Source organism: Homo sapiens, chromosome 13 (assembly GCF_000001405.40).
Source record: "Homo sapiens chromosome 13, GRCh38.p14 Primary Assembly".
Lineage (NCBI taxonomy): Eukaryota > Metazoa > Chordata > Mammalia > Primates > Hominidae > Homo > Homo sapiens.
The window spans coordinates 49,109,272-49,134,642 of record NC_000013.11 but is presented as its reverse complement, the minus strand read 5'-3'; the positions used below and the strand labels follow the sequence as shown (position 1 = coordinate 49,134,642).

At 38.0% G+C, this 25,371-nt stretch overlaps 1 protein-coding gene across 7 annotated transcripts in view, besides 2 other annotated features; it reads right to left on the bottom strand.

Moving 5' to 3' along the window:
• FNDC3A (fibronectin type III domain containing 3A) overlaps window positions 1-25,371 on the bottom strand; it is a 234,489-nt gene that overhangs the window by 75,137 nt on the left and 133,981 nt on the right. For 6 of the 7 annotated variants that reach the window (NR_103528.2, XM_017020440.3, NM_001079673.2 and 3 more), the window contains 2 exons: window positions 19,912-19,988; window positions 3,269-3,506 (listed from right to left, as the gene is read on the bottom strand). Coding sequence is in view for 6 of the 7 variants with exons in the window: in XM_017020440.3 (XP_016875929.1) it covers window positions 3,269-3,506; window positions 19,912-19,988 (315 nt within the window). In the remaining variant the exon portion in view is untranslated. Of the gene's footprint in view, window positions 1-3,268; window positions 3,507-19,911; window positions 19,989-24,236; window positions 24,327-25,371 lie in introns of those variants that run through there. The other variant, NM_014923.5, reaches the window with a different exon arrangement.
• Window positions 20,817-21,320: an enhancer, noted in NCBI's record as "H3K27ac hESC enhancer chr13:49687459-49687962 (GRCh37/hg19 assembly coordinates)". NCBI's record gives its function as "activates a minimal SCP1, AML or CMV promoter by ChIP-STARR-seq in primed H9 embryonic stem cells {active_cell/tissue: H9 hESC(primed)}" and the evidence as "EXISTENCE:reporter gene assay evidence [ECO:0000049][PMID:30033119]".
• Window positions 21,321-21,825: an enhancer, noted in NCBI's record as "H3K27ac hESC enhancer chr13:49686954-49687458 (GRCh37/hg19 assembly coordinates)". NCBI's record gives its function as "activates a minimal SCP1, AML or CMV promoter by ChIP-STARR-seq in primed H9 embryonic stem cells {active_cell/tissue: H9 hESC(primed)}" and the evidence as "EXISTENCE:reporter gene assay evidence [ECO:0000049][PMID:30033119]".

Genomic DNA, 25,371 nt, shown 5'->3' with positions numbered 1-25,371 from the left:
ACCCTCATACATTGCTGGTAGGAATATAAAATGGTGTAGTCACTGTGGAAAAGTAATATAGAATTAACATATGACCCAGCAATTCCACTCTGAGGCACATACCCGGAAGAAATGAAAATATGTCAACACAAAAACTTTTACACAAATGGTCACAGCAGTATTGTTCATAGACAAAAAGTGAAAACAACCCAAAGGTCCATCAGCTAATGAGTGATAAAATGTAATCAACAGAATGCAATATTATTGCAGCCATAAAAAGGAACGAAGTACTATTATATGTGAGAACATGAACTTTGAAAACATGACATTAAGTGAAAAAAAACTAGACACAAAAGTCTACATACTGTATGAACATTTTAATGAAATTTTTATATGAAATACTTATATGTATATTTATATGAAGTCTAGAATAGGCAAACCCATACAGACAGAAAGTAGATCATGGGATGTGAAGGAACAGAGAGTTGGGACTGACTGTTAATATGCACAGTTTCTTTTTTGGGATGATAGAAATGTTCTGGAATTAGACAGTGGTACTTAATACAGTACATACTGAATATAGAAAACATTGAGTTGCATATGTTGCACAATAAAGTAAATATATTAAAAACCACTGAAGTGTAAAATGATGAACTGTTACCTAAATTATATCTCGACAAAAAGTTAAGAAAAATAGCAACTGCAATCAATTAGATCAATTAGTACATACTTTAAAATGCTTTATCTATTATTCAAAATAATAAAGCTACCATGGAAGAGAAAAAAGAATATATTATAGTAGAAAGAGAAGGAACTTAATCATTGAATAGATCTGAGAGGGTTAAAATTCTGAGCAATTAACTAGCAGTGTGGCCTTGCAGAAATTACTTAACATTTCTGAGCCTCGGTTTCCTCATTTGAATTTTGCAGAATTTTATTGAAAATTAAGTGAGATAATACATGTGTGAGCATAGTGCCTAGCAAGGTTCAGGCTCACTAATGGTACTGCTAACAGTGAAATGCTGGATCAGATTCCACTTTGAGAATCCATATGGATTGTGCATGGAAAGGACATCACGGAGGTATAGCCATTGGTTAGAAAACCAGTACTGTCAATAATTAGCATTTAGTGGTAGAATCTCTGGCTTATAACCTCAAGTACAACATGACTCCTCCCTTTTACCACTGGGTAGCTAATTTGTGGATTTGTGCCCTTCACTTTCCTTCATATCAATGTAGATCACATCCATGTATTCTAATGCATATCCCTACAGAATAACAAGGGGTTTTAACAATGCAAAATAGTAATAATTGTAATACTAGCTTTTTCTTATAGTTTTCTCAGATTATAAGAAAAAATTAATATTTTTAAAACTAAGTCATAATTAGCAGTAAACAAAAATAGGATGAGACTAATCTGCAGTATAAACTTTTGGTACTCAAAAGTATGTTCCTTGGAGCACAGCATGAACATCTCCTAGGGGCTTGTTAGAAATGCAGAATCTCAAGCACTACCCAGAGCTACTGAACCAATTTGCATTACTTGGGCAATAGAAATAAGTTTGACAAATACATATGATGTGTACAATATATCCACTATTTACAGGCTGTGTTGTGTAATTTCAATTTTGTATTTGAAGTTATTTCTTCTGCAAATGTACTGAGCATAAGTGACAGGCAATGCTAAGTGCAGGGAAACAATAGTGATTAAAATAGATTCAGTTCTTAGGGAGTTGATAGTCAAATAAGGGAGACAGCCATACAAATACACAATGACAAAAAAGAAATTGTGTTAAGTTCTGTGAAAGATACAAAGTTCAGTGCTAGAGACTAACAAGGTAAGATCAGGAAGGTCTCTCTGAAAACTGAAATCCAAAGGTTAAAGGAAATTTACAGAAAAGGCAGAGAGAACACCATGTACACAGGGACCGAGGCAAGAAAGAACTTGGTGGTTTTGAAAAACTGAAGAAATAAGGGGACTAAGGGGAAGCAATGGGACAAGGAAGTCAGGGGCCACAGGGCAGAACATTGCAAGAGCAGTTTGCAACCAGAACTAATTTTGGTTCCTAGGGATCATTTGGAAATGTCTGGAGATATTTTTAGATGTCAGAATATTTAAAATGTTGTGTCAGAGTTGTGTGCTACAACTGTGCTACACAATGGCAGTTAGTGAGTAGAGGCCAGGGATGCCTTTAAACATCCTACAGTGCAGAGTTTTGTCCTCTACAATGAAGACTTATCCGTCCTAAAACATCAATAGTGGCATGTTTGAGAAACCCTAGTCTAGGGGAAGGGTTTAGGATTTTATTCTAATTGCAATGGGAAATCACTGAAATAGTTTAAACAGAACAGTCTGATTAATATTTGAAAATAATTACTGTGGCTGAGAATTGATTATTGAGGGCAAGAATGGAAACAAAACCAACTGGAAGGCCATTGTTGCAGTTGTCCTGGCAAGAGCTGATGGTGGATGGATTTGAGTGGCAGTGGGGAAGTAGTAAAAAAAATTTCAGAAAATTCTGAAAATAAAACTGATACTAATTGATGTAAGGGTTGGAAAAGGAGAAATCAAATTTGACCATCTGGCTTTCATTTGAGCAAACTAAGTGACTAGTGGACCACCTACTGAGATGAAGGGACGGAAAAAAAGCAAGTCGTGGGGGTCCACATTTGACATTTCTGTTTAGAAATATTCTGAAATGCAAGAGACATCCATGTGAAGTTATCGAGAAGGCAGTCAGGAATAAGTCTGGCACTGTTTAAGGCAGTGTTTAAAGCTATGGGACATAATAAGGTATTATTTTGTGTTTATGTTTGGTAGCCTATATATTTATTAACTTTATTTATTAACTTTCCCCAAATTTATTAACTCCCTGAGGGCAGAGGTTATGGCTTATCCTGTTTTTTCAATCCCTCACAGAGCTTAGCAGCTTTGTGTAGTGGCATCACAGCCAATAGGATTTAACAATGACATGGTTATTCCTGGCTGAAAATTTTCTCAGTGCCTAGATTGCAGGCCAGAGGAAAAGACCTCTTGTTTGAATGTGGCACCACTAAGTAGTGCTGCATGATATAAGTTACTTCCCTTCTTTGATTTTTCTGTTTACTTACCTGCCTTGAAGGGTGATCATGAGGATGAAGCACCTAATATAGTACTTGAGTAAAAGAAAAATGCCTGTTACATCATTACCATTTGCTGTTTTTTTAATGTGATATGATAATGGCATCTATTATATCCAAGCGAAGAATATCCAACTCAATAACAGTGGAATACTTTTAGATGTCTTACCTACATCTCCATAGACTTGTGAAGACTGATACTGTGGCATATACTGTGTTGTCATGTCTCCAGCTCCAGTCACGGGTGAGTACATATGACGTGGTGGAGGCGGCATCATAGTTGGGACAGGAATGAAACCAGGTAGAGGAGGATGTGGAGAACGGTGGAGAACTGTGTGACTACCAGGGTGAAACTCTGGTGCCTGAGGGACCACGACAACTCTTCGAACACCATTGTCTTCAATAACCTACAAAATGAACATCAGATTAAAATTTCTTCCATAGAATATAAACAATTCTTTTAAAAATGTTAAGAGTAGGGTAGGCACGGTAGCTCATGCCTCTAGTCCCAGCACTTTGGGAGGCTGAGGCAGGTGGATTACCTAGGGTCAGGAGTTCGAGAACAGCCTGGACAACATGGCGAAACCCTGTCTCTACTAAAAATACAAAAATTAGCTGGGCATGGTGGCCCATGCCTGTAATCCCAGCTACTTGGGAGGCTGAGGCAGAATTGCTTGAACCTGGGAGGTGGAGGTTGCAGTGAGCCGAGATAGCACCATTGCACTCTAGCCTGGGCAACAGAGCAAGACTCTGTCTCAAAAATAAAATAAAATAAAAATGTAAGAGTAAGAATTTTTACACCATTAGAAATTTTAAAAATTTGGAGAATCAACATGAAAACAACTTATTAAATATATTGGTACATGTAAATTAGCACTAAACAAAATGAATTAGTTTTTGTTATACAATTCAATATAAATCTTAAAACACTGATTAGACAAGCTAAAGAGTAACCTAATAAGTTATGATACTAGATATTTATCCTATGTGTTATGTGCATTTCCTGATGGAGTAATTTTGGTTTAGACACAAGAGGTTCAGGAATCAATTTCCTTTTCTATATTATGACTAGGAGTAGGGGAAAACAAGTTGTGGAAAGACCAAATAGAAAACAAAACAACTGGATCCAGACTCAATCAGATAATCAATGACATGTTAGAATTTGGATGTAAAATTCTTATGACCATGACCAGGACAATTTTAACAGCTGATCATTTCAAGGGACACAAATACTGAATATTACTATATTAACTCCTAGCTAGGAAAAATATCTGTGGCTTTGAGGCTTAGAAATTACAAACTAAAAAAAAAAAACCAAAAAACAAAAAACAGGAATTACACCGTGGGGATAAATTTTTTTAAATGACAAGACTTACTCCTCTTTGAACCTTACTAGAGCTGCAAAGACACACAGGAAACCCTAAAAAATTAAAGGACTTTATCTTAAAATTAGAAATCCCTCACTAAAATAAGGCCCTTATTCTTTTAGACTTATATGGTAATTATTAAGGTATAACAAATGGCTAATACCTTCCTCAGGAAACAGAAAATGATCATAATGTTAAGTGCTAATTTAAAGGCAAATCCTGATTTTCAGGAAGGCAAAGGTTTATTATGCTTAAGGATAGCAAATTATTTTATAAATATATGTGCTTGGTAGGTATAGGTATACTAGAAAACACACTTATCTGGGTATAGATAAGCCTAAATTACAAACATTAATTAGATTATTAAACTATCCTTACCTACTGGAGTGTGACATGACTCTTCTAACAGGGGACTAGATGACCAAATGAATTAACTGTTTTTAATATGCTGGGTCTAGAACCATAATGCCTTGTTTTCAGCAAAATGGATGCCTCAGACCCCTTTCTCCCTATTTAACTCAGTTCTGAATTTAAGTCTCAAGCAAACATATATGATTGATGGGAACTAAACAATATCTAGAACCCTACCTGAAGGGAATCTGGGAACTGCTGATAGCTTTTTAGCTTCTACCCTACAGGAACGAACACTGGAAGAAGTTTGAAATGGATTTTAAGTGAGCCAAATCACAGTATCTGTCACAATACTCATTTCACCTTTATCACTCTCCAATTCACAAATCTTAAAAAACGGAGCCATTTCCAAGAGGCTTGTACTTCATATTCATTCAACCTGGTTCCAAACTACCTTCTAAGTTGTATCGTTCTTTTGCAACAAATCCTGAACCATTAACTGCAGTCAGGCTGGTATAATAAAAAACCTGTTTTCACAGTGACTATACATTTCTATACCCTGTACTTTTATTTATGCAATTATTCTTCTTCACTTTGCTTCCCTTTAATCTATAATAATCTTGTCTATCCTTCCAATTCTAGCTCTAACTTTACCTTCTCCACTCATTTAAAACACTATTTTTCAGCAAAACAAACTGATAATTCAAAGAGGGAAAAACCTCAGAATGATATATTAAATATTTGTGGGGAACCCACACTAACAGGGGCAGACAAACACAACAAGTAAGTTACTTAGCATGTTGCAAGGTGATAAATACTATGGAAAAGGCATAGCAGGTAAGGGCTATTAGAAGTGTTGTGAGAAAGGAGCAGGTTACAGAATAAACACAGGGATCAGAGTAGGCCTTACTGGCAAAGAAAAGCTTAAGCAGAAACTTGAAGGAAGTGGAGGAATTAACTATGTAGAAATCTGGAAGATTTGTTCTAGGAAGAGGGAACAGTTAGAATAAAGCCCCTAAGGTAGAAGTGGGGCTGATTATACCCAAGGGATGAAAGGAAGCTGGTGTGACTGCATGAGTATAAAGGAGCAAAGGCAGAAGCAGATGAAGTCAAAGAAATGAAGCGGTGATAGGGTGGTCAGGTCAGGCACCACGACACAGGCTACTATTAAGGAGTTGGAGTTCATCATTTACTGTCAGTGGAATGGGAAATCATCACAAAGTTTTGGGCAGAAGAGTGATAAAATCTAGTGTTTCTGACTCCTAGAGGATATGTGGTAGGGTCTGGAGACATTTATAGTTGTCACAACTCGGGGCAGTGGGGGAGGTGCACTATTAACACCTAGAAAGTAGAGAGGCCCGGAATACTGCTAAATAACCTACAACACAGAGGGCAACAAAAACATCACCCCACCTCAAATGTTTACATTACTATGGTTGAGAATTCCTGATGTAACCTTATATTTGACAGGACTATTCTGGCTGCTGAGTTGAGAAGAGATCGTAGGGAGGCAAAGACAAAAGCAGGGAAACCATTCAGAAAGCTACTGTAGTAATCTAGGCAAGAGATGATCACAGCTAAGACCAGGGAAGCAGCAGTGGAGATGGTGAGAAGTGACCCACATTCTGCATATATTTAAAAGTAGAAGCCAGGTGCAGTGGCTCACGCCTGTAATCCCAGCACTTTGGGAGGCCGAGGTGGGTGGATCATGAGGTCAGGCGTTCGAGACCAGCCTGGCCAATATGGTGAAATTACATCTCTACTAAAAATACAAAAATTAGCTGGGCATGGTGGCACGCACCTGTAGTCCCAGCTGCTCAGGAGGCTGAGGCAAGAGAATCGTTTGAACCCGGGAGGCAGAGGTTGCAGTGAGCCGAGACTGTGCTGCTGCACTCCAGCCTGGGCAACAGAGCAAGACTCCATCTCAAAAAGAAAAAAAAAAAGTAGAGAAACAAGACAAGATTAGCTGATGATTCCATGTGGGAAGTGAGAAAAAGAAGTTAGGGAACAATAGTCTTCCATCAATGTGATGAGGAAGGCTGTGGAGTAGAACAAGTTTTTTTCAGGGGAAGAGATTTGGAGTTTCAAGTTTTGCACTTGTGAGTTTGAAGAGTTTATAAGACAACTTAGTGGAAATGTTGAATAGACTGTTAAGATATACTAGTCTGCAATTCTGGAAAGATTGGGAAGGGATGACCAAGCGAGGCAGAAGGAAAACTAAGACAGTGTATAGAGTCTGAAGTTTGGTGAAGCATGTCAAGGAGGAAGGATTAACTGTGTCAAATGCTGCTGATAGGTCAAACAAGAGGAAGACTAAGAATCTGACCACTGGATTTAGCAATGTAGACATTACTGTGACCTTGAAGAGGGCAGTTTTGGTATAGTCATAGGGTCAAAGCCCAACTGCAGTGGGTTTAAGTGAGAAAGTAAGGAGAAGAATTAGAGCTAACTGCACAATTTTAAAATGTTCTGCTGCAAAGGGGAATACAGAAATAGGGTGGTGGCTCATACAAGTAGTGAAGTCAAGAAACTTTGATGTTTTGTTGTTTTCAGGAGTGAAATTACAAAAGGCTCAAGATACTAATGAAAATAATCTAGCAGAGAACAAGAAATTGATAACACAGAAGAGAGAAAAGAAAAATGCTAGAGTAATGTGTCCTTACACAGGCAAAATGGGATGGGTTCCAGTATCCCAGTGGGGGAACCGGGTCTGGACAGGAGCAGGAAAGTTTGTGTTACAGATGAGGAAACAGAGTTTGTGGGCTGGATGAGAAGCAGAGCACATAACTGCAGATGTGCAAACACTGGTGGAAGTGTGGGGCTAGGAGTCTGTGGAAGATACCGTTTGACTGTTCCTCCATGAACTCTTCCCTAGGTACCACAATCTCAGTGATCTCTCTCTCCTATAATTTCTACTGCATTTATTCTGTATCACTTGCTGGATATTTGTAACACTGAAATGTTAATTTTCCAGATGCATATGTCTTACTCTATAATTTAAATGTTAAGTTTCTCAAGGAACATATATGAACTATTTGATCCTTGGAACAATGCTACATACTATTATTATTTCAATTTTTCAGATGGAGAAACTGAGACATAGAGATGTTAAATAACTTGCCCAGGGTCATATAGGTAGAAAGTGAGGGAGCTAGTATTTGCACTTGGGCAACTTGGCTTCAGATTCCATGTTCTTATCTACTTTGTGGGCATAGAAGCCATAGGTCTTCTAGTGTCTTTTTTGTTGTTGTTTACGACAAGATATTTATTTGATTAAAAATAAATGGCTAAATTATTTATGAAATTAAAACCACTTTTCTGATGAGTAAGAACATTTAAAATACAAAGATAAGCTTAGGGGAGAGGAAAATGGAGAGCTATTATTTAACAGGTTCAGAGCTTCAGTTTTCAGCAAGATGAAGAGTTCTGTGGATGGAGGGTGGAGCTGGTAGTGCAATGCTGTAAATGTACCTAATGCCATTAAACTGTATACTTAAAAAAGGTTAAGATGGTAATTTTATGTTATGTGTGTTTTACCACAATTAAAAAAACAAACAAAAAAAACCCCCAAACCTAAGATGTAGACAGAAGAGGGGAAAAAAAAAAGCCAGACAAGAACCAAGAGCACGGTGAACTCCACTACCTCAAGCAGCCAGTAACTTCAGAGGAAGGCAACAGACTTCAAAACTATTTGCTAAGTCTCCAGAGGCTTAGGTGCTAAGAAATGGCCATCATGTAGAGGTCAGATTTCACACCAACAGGGTACACTGGTTGTGATGTAAAATAAAATAAGTACGTTGTGAAAAGGAAAAAAAAGATAAAATATAATTCAAATTTGTCAGTGTTCATAAAAATTAAAATACAGATAAGGCAATAAAATATAATTAAATGAGGCATTAGCATAGTCTGACCACTTAACCACAGATGCCACCTAATTTCTAAGTAGGCAAAGACATGTTTTTTTTTCTTCCTTTATTGAACAGAGACACAATTGAGAAGGGCTGCAGAGAAAGGAAACTGTATCTGACATTTTATATTGTGTATCTTCCTTACCAGAATATAAAGCCCACAATAAATGTTTTATTTATTGTTTTTTTCCCCCAGGACCTGGAATAGTACCTAGCACATGGGTTGATGCTCTAATAGTTATTTGTTAAATGAATGATATGATCAGAAATATATGTGTTCTTTTAGCACTAACAGAATGCTACATTTCTTTCTCCCTCTCTTTACACCATGAAGCTATTAGGGTTCTGTGACTTTCTCAATTCCTACAACCTTTGCTTCCTCTCTACTTTTTGCAACCTACTTCTGTGGTCTCACTCTGAACCCAGAACTATTCCAACTTTAAGCTCTTAATAATACAGCTTCACTTTAAGCTCAAAACAACTTTAAGCTCTTAAACAATAACATAGGCCATTCATTTAACAAACATTTATGTGTCTACAAACATATACAACAGTATGTGATCACAATCTCCTTTCTCTCCAGTTCTTACTATATCTCTTCATTCTCATATAAATCTCTTAGGTCTCCCCATCTTATAGTTTCTCACACTCCCCTGCCCATCCCTTTTGGCTGTTGTCCCCAGGAGAGCAGCAAGAAGTCTGAGATCAGATTGATTTGCAGAATATCTGAAAAACACACTGACCTCACTCCTGCGTGCCATCATAAAAGCAAAATGAAACAGCAAGCACAGCTCAAAGGAGTAACCTGAAACTTTTCCCAAAGTCGATATAGTTTCTTTCCCCACGCTATGCGATCTACAATTCCTTCCTTGTTAGGCACCCTCTCATTACCATAACAGCCCACATTCTATAAAAAAACAGTTAAGGGAGCCATTACCAGAAAGGCAGAACTTCTGATATTGCCTTTCAGGAGTCCCATTCAGGTAGTTCATAAACTTCTCTTGATAAGTTATTAACTTTATCACTGAAATAGCGGAAGTGTTATCCTGTCCTGCAATACAATGCTCTTAGGGACTCTAAGTTAGTACTATTTGCCAGTGAATTAAGTTCCTTCTACTCCTGGCATCACTTGCTTTGTATTTAAGTTTTATAGTTCTATGTTTTGTTCATTTCCTCATTTGATAACTTAATTCCACTGGCACATATTTCTGCCTCTGTGCAGTACACCAATTTCTTAAAAGTATCCTTATTTATTAAACTGCAACAATAAAGCTCATTAAGGTTCTGCCTAAAATAAGGACCAAGCAGGCCCCAGAAATGGCTATGGAGGTTATTTATGTGTAAAGTACATAATCTTGGTATGTGGACTATGTATCATCTTTTCAAATAGTTTGCTTCTTCTGAAGCTTTTTTTCTCTACTTTTTTTTTTTTAATTAAAGTTCTGGGATACATGTGCCAAACATGTAGGTTTGTTACATAGGTATACACGTGCCATGGTGGTTTGCTGCACCCATCAACCCATCATCTATATTAGGTATTTCTCCTAATGCTATCCCTCCCCTAGCTCCCCATCCCTTCACAGGCCCCAGTGTGTGATGTTCCCCTCCCTGTGTCTATGTGTTCTCATTGTTCAACTCCCATTTATAAGTGAGAACATGTGGTGTTTGGTTTTCTGTTCCTGTGTTAATCTGCTGAGAATGATGGTTTCCAGCTTCATCCATGTCCCTGCAAAGGACATGAATTCATCCTTTTTTATGGCTGCACACTATTCCATGGTGTATATGCACCACATTTTCTTTATCCAGTCTATCACTGATGGGCATTTGGGTTGGTTCCAAGTCTTTGCTACTGTGAATAGTGCTGCAATAAACATACATGTGCATGGTCCTAGTACAATGATTTATAATCCTTTGGCTATATACCCAGTAATGGGATTGCTGGGTCAAATGGTATTTGTGGTTCTAGATCCTTGAGGAATTGCCACACTGTCTTCCACAATGGTTGAACTAATTTACACTACCACCAACAGTGTAAAAGCGTTCCTATTTCTCCACATCTCTCCAGCATCTGTGGTTCCCTGACTTTTTAATGACCGCCATTCTAACTGGCGTGAGATGGTAGCTCATTGTGGTTTTGATTTGCATTTCTCTAATGACCAATGATAAGCTTTTTTTCATATGTTTGTTGGCCACATAAATGTCTTCTTTTGAGAAGTGTCTGTTCAGATCCTTCGCCCACTTTTTGATGGGGTTGGTTTTTTTTTTTGTAAATTTGTTTAAGTTCTTTGTATATTCTGGATATTAGCCCTTTGTCAGATGGATAGATTGAAAAAATTTTCTCCCTTTCTACAGGCTGCCTGTTTACTTTGATTATAGTTTCTTTTGCTGTACAGAAGAAGCTCTTTAGTTTAATTAGATCTCGTTTGTCAATTTTGGCTTTTGTTGCCATAGCTTTTGGTGTTTGGTCATGAAGTCTTTGCCCATGCCTATGTCCTGAATGGTATTGCCTAGGTTTTCCTCTAGGGTTTTTACGGTTTTAGGTTTTATATTTAAGTCTTTAATCCATCTTGAGTTAATTTTTGTATAAAGTGTAAGGAAAGGGTCCAGTTTCAGTTTTCTGCATGTGGCTAGCCAGTATTCCCAACACAATTTATTAAATAGGGAATCCTTTCCCCATTGGTTGTTTTTGCCCGGTTTGTCAAAGATGAGATGGTTGTAGATGTGTGGTATTATTTCTGAGGCCTCTGTTCTGTTCCACTGGTCTATATATCTGTTTTGGTACCAGTACCTTGCTGTTTTGGTTACTGTAGATTTGTAGTATAGTTTGAAGTCAGGCAGCATGATGTCTCCAGCCCTGTTCTTTTTCTTTAGGATTGTTTTGGCTATATGGGCTCTTTTTTGGTTCCATATGAAATTTAAAGTAGTTTTTCTAATTCTGTGAAGAAAATCAATGGTAGCTTGATGGGGATAGCATTGAATCTATAAATTACTTTGGGCAGTATGGCCATTTTCACAATACTGATTCTTCCTATCCACGAGCATGGAATGTTTTTCCATTTGTTTGTGTCCTCTCTTATTTCCTTGAGCAGCGGTTTGTAGTTCTCCTTGAAGAGGTCTTTCACATCCCTTGTAAGTTGGATTCCTAGGTATTTTGTTCTCTTTGTAGCAATTTTGAACGGGAGTTCACTCATGATTTGGCTCTCTGTTTGCCTATTATTGGTGTATAGGAATGCTTGTGATTTTTGCACATTGATTTTGTATCCTGAGACTTTGCTGAAGTTGTTTATCTGCTTAAGGAGATTTTGGGCTGAGACGATGGGGTTTTCTAAATATACAATCATGTCATCTGCAAAGAGAGACAATTTGACTTCCTCTCTTCCTATTTGAAAACTCTTTATTTCTTTCTCTTACCTGACTGCCTGGCCAGAACTCCCAATACTATGTTGAGTAGGAATGGTGAGAGAGGGCATCCTTGTCTTCTGCTGGTTTTCAAAGGTAATGCTTCCAGCTTTTGCCCATTCAGTATGATATTGGCTGTGGGTTTGTTATAAACAGCTCTTATTATTTTGAGATATGTTCCATCAATACCTAGTTTATTGAAAGTTTTTAGCATGAAGGCCTTCAATTTTATTGAAGGCCTTTTCTGTGTCTATTGAGATAATCATGTCATTTTTGTCATTGGTGCTGTTTATGTGATAGATTACGTTTATTGATTTACGTATGTTGAACCAGCCTTGCATCCCAGGGATGAAGCAGACTTGATTATGGTGGATAAGCTTTTGGATGTGCTGCTGAATTCAGTTTGCCAGTTATTTTATTGAGGATTTTCACATTGATCTTCATCAGGGATACTGGCCTGAAATTTTCTTTTTTTGTTGTACTTCTGCAAGGTTTTGGTATCAGGATGATGCTGGCCTCATAAAATGAGTTAGGGAGGAGTCCGTCTTTTTCTGTTGTTTGTAATACTTTCAGAAGGAATAGTAACAGCTCCTCTTTGTACCTCTGGTAGAATTAGGCTGTGAATCCATCTGGTCCTGGGCTTTTTTTGGTTGTTAGGCTATCAATTACTGCCTCAATTTTAGAACTTGTTATTGGTCTATTCAGGGATTCCACTTCTTCCTTGTTTAGTCTTTGGGGGGGTGTATGCGTCCAGGAGTTTACCCATTTCTTCTAGATTTTCTAGTTTATTTGCATAGAGGTGTTTATAGTATTCCCTGATGGTAGTTTGTATTTCTGTGGGATCAGTGGTGATATCCCCTTTATCATTTTTTATTGTGTCTATTTGGTTCTCCTCTCTTTTCTTCTTTAACAGTCCAGCTAGTGGTCTATCTATTTTGTTCATCTTTTCAAAAAACCAGCTCCTGAACTGATTGATTTTTTTGAAGGGTTTATTTTTGTCTCTATCTCCTTCAGCTCTGCTCTGATCTTAGTTATTTCTTGTCTTCTACTAGCTTCTGAATTTGTTTGCTCTTGCTTCTCTGGTTCTTTTAATTGTGATGTTAGGGTGTTGATTTTAGATTTTTCCCGCTTTCTCATGTGGGCATTTAGTGCTATAAATTTCCCTCTACATACTGCTTTAAATGTGTCCCAAAGATTCCGGTATGTTGTGTCTTTGTTCTCATTGGTTTCAAAGAACATCTTTATTTCTGCCTTCATTTCATTATTTACCCAGTACTCATTCAGGAGCAGGTTGTTCAGTTTCCATGTAGTTGTGTGGTTTTGAGTGAGTTTCTTAATCCTGAGTTCTAATTTGATTGCACTGTGGCCTGAGAGATTGTTTGTTATAATTTCTGTTCTTTTACATTTGCTGAGAAGTGTTTTACTTCCAATTATGTGGTGAGTTTTAGAATAAGCGTGATGTGGTGCTGAGAAGAATGTATATTGTGTGGATTTGGGGTGGAGAGTTCTGTAGATGTCTATTAGGTCAGCTTGGTGCAGAGCTAAGTTCAAGTCCTGAACATCCTTGTTAATTTTCTGTCTCATTGATCTAATATTGACAGTGGGGTGTTAATTATTATTACCCATTATTATTGTGTGGGAGTCTAAGTCTGTTTGTAGGTCTCTAAGAACTTGCTTTATAAATCTGGGTGCTCCTGTATTGGGTTCATATATATTTAGGATAGTTAGCTCTTCTGGTTGCACTGATCCCTTTACCATTATGTAATACCCTTCTTGTCTTTTTTGATCTTTGTTGGTTTAAAGTCTGTTTTATCAGAGACTAGGATTGCAACTCCTGCTTTTTTTTTTTTTGCTTTCCATTTGCTTGGTAAATCTTCCTCCATCCCTTTATTTTGAGCCTATGTATGTCTCTGCATGTGAGATGGGTCTCCTGAATACAGCACACCAATGGGTCTCAACTCTTTATCCAATTTGCCTGTCTGTGTCTTTTAATTGGGGCATTTAGCCCATTTACATTTAAGATTAATACTGTTATGTGTGAATTCGATCCTGTCATTATGATGCTAGCTGGTTATTTTGCCCATTAGTTGATGCAGTCTCTTCATAGAGTCGATGGTCTTTACAATTTGGCATGTTTTTGCAGTGGCTGGTACTGGTTTTTCCTTTCCATATTTAGGGCTTCCTTCAGGAGCTCTTGTAAGGCAGGCCTGGTGGTGATGAAATCTCTCAGCATTTGCTTGTCTGTAAAGGATTTTATTTCTCCTTCGCTTATGAAGCTTAGTTTGGTTGGATATGAAATTCTGGGTTGAAAATTCTTTCCTTTAAGAATGTTGAATATTGGCCCCCACTCTCTTCTGGCTTGGAGAGTTTCTGAAGAGAGATTTGCTATTAGTCTGACGGGCTTCCCTTTGTGGGTAACCTGACCTTTCTCTCTGGCTGCCCTTAACATTTTTTCCTTCATGTCTACCTTGGTGAATCTGACAATTACGTGTCTTGGGTTTGCTCTTCTCAAGGAGTATCTTAGTGGTTTTCTCTGTATTTCCTGAATTTGAATGTTGGCCTGTCTTGCTAGGTTGGGGAAGTTCTCCTGGATAATATCCTGAAGAGTGTTTTCCAACTTGGATCCATATTCCCCATCACTTTCAGGTATACCAATCAAACATAGGTTTGGACTTTTCACATAGTCCCATATTTCTTGGAGGCTTTGTTCGTTCATTTTCATTCTTGTCTCTCTAATCTTGTCTTCACACTTTATTTCATTAAGTTGATCTTCAATCTCTGACATCCTTTCTTCTGCTTGATTGATTTGGCTGTTGATACTTGTGTATGCTTCGCGAAGTTCTTGTGCTGTGTTTTTCAGCTCTATCAGGTCATTTATGTTCTTCTCTAAACTGGTCATTCAAGTTAGCAATTCCTGTAACCTTTTTTCAAGGTTCTTAGCTTCCTTGCATTGGGTTAGAACATGCTCCTTTAGCTCAGAGGAGTTTGTTATTACCCACCTTCTGAAGCCTACTTCTGTCAATTCGTCAAACTCATTCTCCGTCCAGATTTGTTCACTTGCTGGCAAGGAGCTGTGATCCTTTGCAGGAGGCTTTTGGAATTTTCAGCCTTTTTGTGCTGGTTTTTCCTCATCTTCATGGATTTATCTACCTTTGGCCTTTTGTCTTGGTGACCTTCGGATGGGGTTTCTGTGTGGACATCGTGTTTCTTGATGTTGTTGCTATTCCTTTCTTTTACTTTCCTTCTAGTAGTCAGGCCCCTCTGCGGCAGGTCTGCTGGAGTTTGCTGGAGGTCCACTCAGACCCTGTTTGCCTGGGTATCGCCAACAGAGGCTGCAGAACAGCAAAGACTGCTGCCTGTTCTTTCCTCTGGAAGCTCTGTCCCAGAAGGGCACCCACCAGATGCCAGCTGGAGCTCTCCTGTATGAGGTGTCTGTCGACCCTGCTGGAAGGTGTCTCCCAGTCAGGAGGCACGGGGGTTAGGGAACCACTTGAGGAGGCAATGTGTCCCTTAGCAGAGCTTGGGAGCTCTGCTGGGAGATCCACTGCTTGCTTTAGAGCCGGTAGGCAGGAACGTTTACGTCTGCTGAAGCTGTGCCCACACTTGCCCCTTCCCCCAGGTGCTCTGTCTCAGGAAGACGGGCGTTTTATCTATAAGCCCCTGACTGGGGCTGGAGCCTTTCTTTCAGAGATGCCCTGCCCAGAGAGGAGGAATCTAGAGAGGTAGTCTGGCTACAGTGGCTTTGATGAGCTGCGGTGGGCTCTGCCCAGTTCCAGCTTCCTGGTGGCTTTGTTTACACTGCTCAGGGAAAACTACCTACTCAAGCCTCAGTAATGGCAGACGCCCCTCCCCCATCAAGCTTGAGTGTCCCAGGTGGACTTCAGACTGCTGTGCTGGCAGCGAGAATTTCAAGCCAGTGGATCTTAGCTTGCTGAGCTCTGTGGAGGTAGGATCCGCTGAGCTAGACCACTTGGCTCCCTGACTTCAGCCCCCTTTCCAGGGGAGTGAACGGTTCTGTCTTGCTGGCGTTCCAGGAGCCACTGGAATATGAAAAAAAGCTCTTGCAGCTAGCTCAGTGTCTGCCCAAATGCCTGCCCAGTTTTGTGCTTGAATCCCAGGGCCCTGGTGGTATAGGCACCGAAGGGAATCTCCTGGTCTGCGGGTTGCGAAGACTGTGGGAAAAGTGTGGTATCTGGGCCGGAATGCACTGTTCCTCATGGCACAGTCCCTCATGGCTTCCCTTGGCTAGGGGAGGGAGCTCCCCGACCCCTTTTGCTTCCTGGGTGAGGCGATGCCCCACCCTGCTTCAGCTCGCCCTCTGTGGGCTTGCCCTCTGTGGAAGAATCAAGTCTTACATACTGGAAACTTAAATTAACTAAAAAACGATAAGACTAGATTTTTGTCTTTGGATTACCCTGTGTAATGAAAACGACACATTTTCTAGAGATAATCTTCATCTTAAATTAAGATTAATAATAGTAGCCCACTAACCTCACATAATCCTTCCAGGAAGATTATTGTTAAAATTCATTAATTTATGTGACAACTATTTATGGGACACTTACTACATTTGAGTTACCACAAGAACACAAAAATAATTAAAAGGCAGTTCCTATCTTAAGGAACCTAAAATCCTGTAGGAGTAAAAATACATATGCAGTTGTCCCTTGGTATGCATGGGGGATTGGTTCCAGGACTTTCTGTGGATACCAAAATTTTCTAATGCTCAAGCCTCTGATATAAAACGGTGTAGTACTTGCTTATAACCTACAACACCCTCGGGTGTACTTTAAATCATCTCTAGATTATTTATCATACCTAATATAATGTAAATGCTGTGTAAATAGTTATATTGTATTAAGAAATGTGACAAGAAAGTCTGTACGTGTTCAGTATAGATGCAATTTTTTTTTTCAAATATTTTCAATCTGTGGTTGGTTGAATCCATAGATTTGGAACCTAAGGATATGAAGGGCTAACAGTACATAATTATATTAGGTGATATGTATTATAACCAAGAAGTGGTTCAATAACATGATCTAGGTAGGCCCTCAAGGATGGGTAGAATTTTAAAAGGCAGAAATGGAGAAATGAATAACATTCCTTAGATAACAGCATTAAGGAAACACCAAGTAAGCATGTGAGAAATGTTCGGCTACAAAAATGGACATAATTGAAAGTATCAAGAAAATGGTGCAAAGGCAAACCAGGACAGAACCGTGTAAAGCCTTAAATGTCAAGAAATCTAGACTTCATTGAGTGTACAAGCCGGCTACAGGCTCTTTATGACCAAAGAAATGCTATAGGAAGATTATCTCTGTGGCTTTTGGTCTAAAGATTACAGAACCTCAACTCGGATGATTATCTAATTTACAAATATTTACTGAGCTCCTACTATATGACAGGCTATATACTTGGCATTGAGGATATGAAGATAAGTAAGAGTCTTATATGATCTAGACTTCTTACTTCTTACCTCATTCCCTTCTATTCTCCCTTGATGAATCAGTCCAATCATACTGACCTCCTTGCTGTTCCCAGGCATGCTGTCATCTTAGCCACTTGCACTGGCCATTTCTGTCCAGAATCCTCTTTTCTCAGATAGATGCATAGCTAACCCCCACCTGTCCTTCAAGACTTGGCTCAAATCTTACCTGCCCAATGAGGCCTCTTCCGACCACTCTTGTAAAATATAACCAGCTCTAACACATTATAGGATTTTTTTTTTTTTTTGAGACGGAGTCTCACTCTGTCTCCCAGGCTGGAGTGCAATGGTGCGATCTCGGCTCACTGCAACCTCCGCCTCCCAGGTTCAAGCGATTCTCCTGCTTTAGCCTCCCTAGTAGCTGGGATTGCAGGCACCTGCTACCATGACCAGCTAATTTTTGTATTTTTTGTAGAGACAGGGTTTCACCAGGCTGGTCTCGAACTCCTGACCTCAGGTAATCCACCCGCCTTGGCCTCCCAAAGAGCTGGGATTACAGGCGTGAGCCACCATGCCCAGCAAACATTATAGAGTTTATCCACTTTTTATTTGCCTCTTCCCAGAAGAATATAAACCACAGAGCGGCATGAGTCTTTGCCTCTTTCAGTCATGGACATATTCCAAGCACTCAAGAGTGCCTGACATATATAAACACTCAATACATATTTGTGGAACACTGTTGAACATAGGAACTGTAAGAATTCATAGTCTCAGGAAAGAGAATTACACATTTCATAAGTTTATGAAAAGAGGAATATATATATTAATAATATGCCACGAAAGCCCAAAGGGAGAAGCACCTGGAAAGGCTCAGGGAAAACTGCTTTCAGAGCTCACGATGAAGTGAAATGAAAAGGATAGGAGTTTGCCACAAAAAATAAAACGAAAAGGTACTGTAAGATGAGAGAACAGCAGATAACCTAAGTGCACTGAAAGAACTTGTCTTAATCATCTTTTTATCACTAGCTCCCAATACAGAGCTCAGTACGTGGTGCCACTCAATAAATCATGAACTGAACTATGCTAGAGAACAGTCTTCATGTAAGAGAAGGAAGATCTGAGAAGGTGCAACAAAGAAGTAGAAAACAAAAATCAGGGCAGCATGATGTCAAGGAAATCTGTAGTAAATCTTATCAGTGGTACCAAATTTTTAGAGGTCAAAGAGGACCAGGCTGGAAAGCAGGACTTTGGATTTGGTACATAGCGGAAAGCAGTTTTAGTAGAGTAATATAGACAGAATGCAGACTATATTAAGGAGTCAGTGTGCTAAACAAAAGTAGAGATAGTTAGTAGAGACTACTCTGAAAAGCTTACAAGGTAATTTCAGTACGTGATCTCATCTCATAATGAAGGCACTGAGACTGAAGGAAGTTGATTTGCCCAAGACCATGCAGCCAGCAAAGGTTTGAAATAAGATATGGATTCAGCTTTTCTGAATCCATTCTAAATCTCATTCCATTCTCTCCTTCCCAGCACGCTCTTCTTTTGCTGTGGTTCATATGATGGTGTGCTTCACAGAGTGTGCAGAAAATCCACCCCAATATCCCACCACCAATATTCTGGCATAATCAGGGAGGAAGTAACAGAGGGCCTGAAGAAAAACTTCAAGTGTAAATTCAATGCTAGGGAGAGAAAATGATTATTTCCCAAAATAGATTGAGGCAAAGCGTGCAGACCATACGAAATCTCAGTAGTGGAAGATATTGAACACCTGCAGATTTTACAGTTTAATTCAGTTTGCCTGTGTTCATAAATTACTATACTTAAGGTCAGAGCTTCCCAGTCATTATGCATAAAAGGTTACAGGTGTATGGAGATACTGATTTTTTTTTTTTATTTCCCCCCCCCCCTCATCCCTCAGGGTTGCTAAACTCTTTTCTATTGAACACAATATGCCATGCAATTATCAACAGTGTCTGAGATTCATTGTATGAATAAAGTTGGAAGCATTGTCTTGGGTTACATCTAAGCAAATTTCTAAATTTAAAAATGTCAGTGTAGGCACCTTTACAACCTAAAATATTATTTTTATTTAGTCATATATTTAGGGAGACAAAACTCTAGAATGAATTTTCTTTTGTGACTTAACACCCAAAGACAAGGACAAATGATGAGTGCTGCCAATAAAAATTTTTCTTCCTTTCCAAATGTACTAAAATACTTGAAATAGATTTATGATAGATACACAACACTTGGTAAGCCTCAGTAATTAAATGGTTTTTTTAAATCAAAATCAAAGTCAAAGAGAATAACATTATCACTATTATACAAATATGAAAAGAAAAATAGCATAAAAACATACCTGTGGGGCATATCCAGGAGGCACATAGATAGGAGGCACAGAACCATTTGGGGACATCATTGGAACCTGAGCAGGACCTGAATGGGTCACATAAATGATGTATTAACCCATGATTGCTTATCAGGCTAAAGTTGAAAACAATTTGAATTACATTTTGAATACTTCATCTAAACACTCAAGCCAACAGTAACTACATTTTTATAAAAAGAAATTCAGATGATTGACTTGTTATAAAAATTTATCTTGTAAAGTGCACAAATTACCCTTTACCTACATTTGTGTTTTTTAAAGTTGCTGGGGTAGGGGTGGTGGGGGGCGGGGAGGTTGGAGGGCTTTTTAAAACATATTAACAGGCTCTCCTAGAGATTCTTAGTCAATGGGGTCTTGAATCATTATATTCACTTTACAAATATCCCAGGTGACTCTTATAATAGTGTAAGTTTAGAAACACTGACCTAGAGAAAAATCAAACTAAACTCTGCATATAAAATCAATGAAAAATACAAAAGGCAAAATTTTCAAAAGTTACAGGGACAAAATAAAAAAGCAAGAGTGAAAAGCAGCAAGAGGAAGAATAGTTAGAAATTTGGAACTTGCTTTGTTAGGGTTAAAATACTTGTGTAATGTGTGACTCATGTCTATGGGGGCTTAAGAACAAAGAGAAATGCCACACGTGTACTTACCCAAAGGAAAAAAAAATTTTTTTTTGTTTCTCACACTAAAAAGTTCTAAAAAAGAAAATTCAGCTTCTCTCACTCTACACTTCCTTTCACTTTTATAGTGTTAGGTTTTCCAATTAACTTTTATAACTATTATCTCTAGTTTACCTTCTCTTTTAACATTTCTGGGAACAAAAGAAGCATTTGGAGAAGGTGTGTTTTGTTCTTTCTAGGAACTAAAATCTTAGTTGCTTTATGTAACTTTTAAAAAAGTCTCTTACCCCCCTTCAGTTCCTTTCTTCCTGTAACTTTACACTGCAGTGTCCCCTCATGCCCACCAGTTTTTTATAACCTGAAATGAAACCTTTTCAAAGAAATTACTTATTTCTAAGGGAATAAGAACAAAGGTCTGATGAGGAATGTAAAGGGGGAAGGATCTCTTTTATATGCAGAATTATAATCTACCATTATATAATGGCTCTCAGCTATAAAAGAAATAAAGGAGGAAAAGCTCAAATGTAGGGTAGAAAACAAGTAACTCTGTTAATATTATACATACTTCAGAAAATCAGAATAAAGGACATGGAGGTCACAACAAATCCGGATTACAGCCATTCTGCCCTTTCTAGGGAAGGCAAGGGGTGAGGACAGAACCACACAGTGGTGATGAAATTAGGGCTAGGGAGATGAGAGAGCTAGGGAAGAGAAAAGAGAATACAAAAGAAAGGGGGTGTAAGAGGGAAACTACTAAACGGGGTGACGGAAAATACTAAACAGGGGTAAGGAAAGTGGGGAAAGTGGAGGAAAAAAGGGGGAAGCAAGCAAGGAGAGGAGAAAGGCAAGAGGGGAGAGAAGGAGAGAGGCGAGAGGTAAGAGAAGAAAAGGGAGGGATAAGAAAGGGGACAAGAGGCAGTAAAGGAGAGTGAAGAGAAGACAAGAAGGGAGGGAGAGGAGAAAACAGAAGGGTAAGGGGGAGGAGGAACGATGTGGAGAAATAGGAGAAAGGGGGAGGGGAGGGAAAGGACAGAAGAGGTGGGGAGGGGAAGAGAAAGTAGGGATAAGACTGAAGTGGTTGAGAGAAAGTAAGAAGTGTTTGTGTAGAACACTAAATTACACTATATAATATCTGGCTGTGAAAAGAACTTTTCAATAAGATACTCTTCCCATCCAAAACAAGACCACCACCAAATACATGAAGTTGTCCAGAATATTATTTTAATTATATATAGCTAATACTAACTTACTATGTGCCAGGCCTTTTACATATTTTTTCTCCTCATAATCATTCTATCAGGTAAATATCATCATCATCATCATCTCCATTTTCTAGATGTGGAAACTGAGGCACAGAGAGGTTAAGCTCCCCAAGTGGTAGAAGTGGGATTCAAAACCAGGTAGTTTTATTTCTAAGGACATATCCTTACCACATTTTTAGTAAACATTAAAATACTATGCAGTATTGGCAACTGATATAATTTGAGGCTTAAGAACAATGCTCTAAAGCCTCTAAGGAAAATTAAGGCCTTTGTTGTCTTTACATCCGTAAAAACATGAGAGAAAGAATAAAATTTTCTTAAGTTTAAGCAAACATTACCTATTAATTTACTGAATAAAACTTGTGAGCTGCTTTATACCTCTAGGCAGAAAAGCTTCATGCAAAACTCACCTTTTAGCTCCTATATTCTAGACTCAAGAGAAATGAGAACTGTTTTAAACTAATGCTGGTTTACTTCCATTAGCTAATTTATATAAAACTACAGTAAACTAACTTCCTGAATCCTTACAGGTGGCTTAGGTATTACTTACAATATGTGAAATTCAGCTGAGAACTTGACAGAGAATTCACTGAAAATCATATTTTATAATGTTAATAAAGGCCATTAGCATTGCACTTTTACTGTGGGTCCTTTTATATGCTGTCAAATTTAATCCTTACATCAAGTCATCAGAATAGGTTTTTCTTTTGCCATCAGAATAATAAGTTATTGCTAATTACATTTAAAATAGTAAAATCACACAATTGCTTCAAGTGGCCCTCCTTTTACCAGAAATACGAATATATATGTAGTTACAATTCAAACCATTTTATACTTTGATAGCCGCTAAAATAGTTTATAATTTGGTAATACAAGATTCTACTTTGTTTTTTAATTATATCTAAGTGTGATGCTGAAAAGAGAAATGTAAGCTAAAATAAACCAGTAGTAAATATATTACTAGATGTAGTCCAGGAAAAAGACTGATTAACTTACTTCTTTACGAAGTAATCCTTTCACTCTAGCAAAAAAATTTTTTTTTTATCCTGAGGCAGAAATTGTACATGGTTAGATTTTTTTTTTTTTTTTTTGAGACGGAGTTTTACTCTGTTGCCCAGGCTGGAGTGCAGTGGCGCTATCTCAGCTCAATGCAACCTCTTCCTCCTGGGTTCAAGTGATTCTTCTGCTTCAGCCTCCCGAGTAGCTGGGATTACATGCATGTGCCACCACGCCCGGCTAATTTTTGTATTTTTAGTAGAGACGGGGTTTCACCATGTTGGCCAGGCTGGTCTTGAACTCCTAACCTCAGGTGATCCACCTGCCTCGGGCTCCCAAAGTGCTAGGATTACAGGTGTGAGCCACCATGCCCGGCCAGATTTTCTTTTAAAAAGACAATTTATCGGTATCATATTTAATGCCTAAAATATTGCTGTGAAGTAACATTCAACACTGAATGCAAACCCCTATTGTATAAACATAATAAATACAAGTATCGATGTTTAGAACTACAACGTTTACAGCATCTCATGTCTGTTGTTACTCCTGTGTCTATAGTAGCGAAACCTTAAAGCCTTGCATATTTAATGATGTAAATGTTTGATTAGCTCCTTAGTTCCAACAATACTTTTTAATTTAGAAAGTAACAGAAAATTAACTACAAACTGACTTAAATTTGTATGCAATGAGGGAGATTTTGTCCCAAGGAAGAAACTCAGATCCTATTGACAAATGTATGCCTGGCACAAGAGTAGCAATACCTGACAACAACTGTGCATACACTTAGCAGCTCCTTTATAATCTATGTGATTTGAGCATGATTTACCCCAATCATGGAGCTATTAAGGATACATTTCCTATTTCAAAAACCTGCAGAAGAGTAAACAATTCTAACCAATTGTCTTAAGAAATTTGAGAAGCTCCCCACCCCTGCTTCTTAAAAAGTGCCATCACTGACTTAAAGAAGATATTTCAACTAGTATAACTTAAATTCTTCTTTATCTTTCCTTGTTAATATACATTCATATTTAAGAGGTTTTTTTTAAATAAAATTACAAATTTGTCCAGGAGTTTTAATTCTTAAAATGCAACGTGCTGCCGCTGTGCTACACATTCTCTATAAGCCAGCGTTCACAATGGCTTCCAAATAATCTGATGCCAATTTTCAGATTTTAGCTCTAGAAGAAAAACCTAGTAAAATAAAGATCCTAGAATGGAATATTCCGTGGAATACAAAATTACAAAATAACTCTACATAGTCTAACCTTTTTGTATTTACATGGCAACAATTTAAAATATTTTATGGCGATGATATTTAGCATCTATTTTTAAAAACACACGGCATGACTTTAGATTAATACAATGCTTTCTGTCTTAAAATAAAAGCAGAATGTTCGAAAACAGCAAATCTTACCACTCATTTCGTTTTTACAGTAGCAGCAGAGAACAAGAAAATCCAACAAGGAAACAGCGTAGTACACGTTAACAGCTTTAATTGGAGAACGGCTTTTTTTTTTTTTGCAAGGCTGTAAGAGGAAAAGATCCTTTGACCGAGTCACGTGACAGTCATCACGTGACCTGCAGTGACCCAGGAAAGGGCAAGGGGGAAAAAAAAGCAAACGTTCCCGCTTGCAGCATTTCTGATATAGGGGAAAAAAAAGATTAAATGATTTCTACTGCTGCTGCCCTGAATTTGACCATCTTTCAGACTTCCTTATGAACCAATTCAAAAGCTCATCAAAGTATACTTTTCAGAAATATATATTTGATGTACAATGATTCTCTTTGTGTTCAATAACACCACAGGTGCTATCTTCTAATTTTTTACTCATGCAGCCTGCCGCTAATTTTCATTTAGAACATTTGAGATAATATTAATTTAAAAGATTCAGTCTGAAATGTCATTGTATAACGTAATTCTCCATACTCAATCCTTAAGGAATATCCACAATACACAAATAATTGTGTATAGAATATAGGTTTGATAGACATGTGTCTCAAAGGTGGGATTTATGTTTCAGGCTGTTATTTGCCTCTTAAGAGAATAAAGACTACCACTTTCATTATTGGTTTTATTTTCTTTCTGATTTTTTTAAATTTAAGATTTAAATTAAAGTGCAGGTGCTCAGTAGATGGCATTCTTACTCATATCCACGAATCTGAAAAGACAGCCTCAGGTGCAGGTTCAGAGTTCTCTATCCAAGAACAAGTAGAGACCAGAAAGGAGACCAAAGATGTCCAGTTACAACAGGAAAGAATAAGAACTTTTGGAGATCTTTCATTACTTTATGGTGCTATGTAACTTCAGAGGAAATTTATTAACAGCTAACAAAAATATACAGGTAATGATAATGACAGTGGTTTGTAACAAGTTGTACAGTGGAAAGAAAGTGAATTTTGGTATTAAAAGATATATTTTAATAACAGCTTCAGTATTTATTAGCAAGGCAATTTACTGCTCTTCTCTGAAGTCTTAGCTTATTTCAGTGACAAGGTTAATCAACATCATAGCATTGTTGTGAGAATGAAATTAAATAAATTTAAAGTAT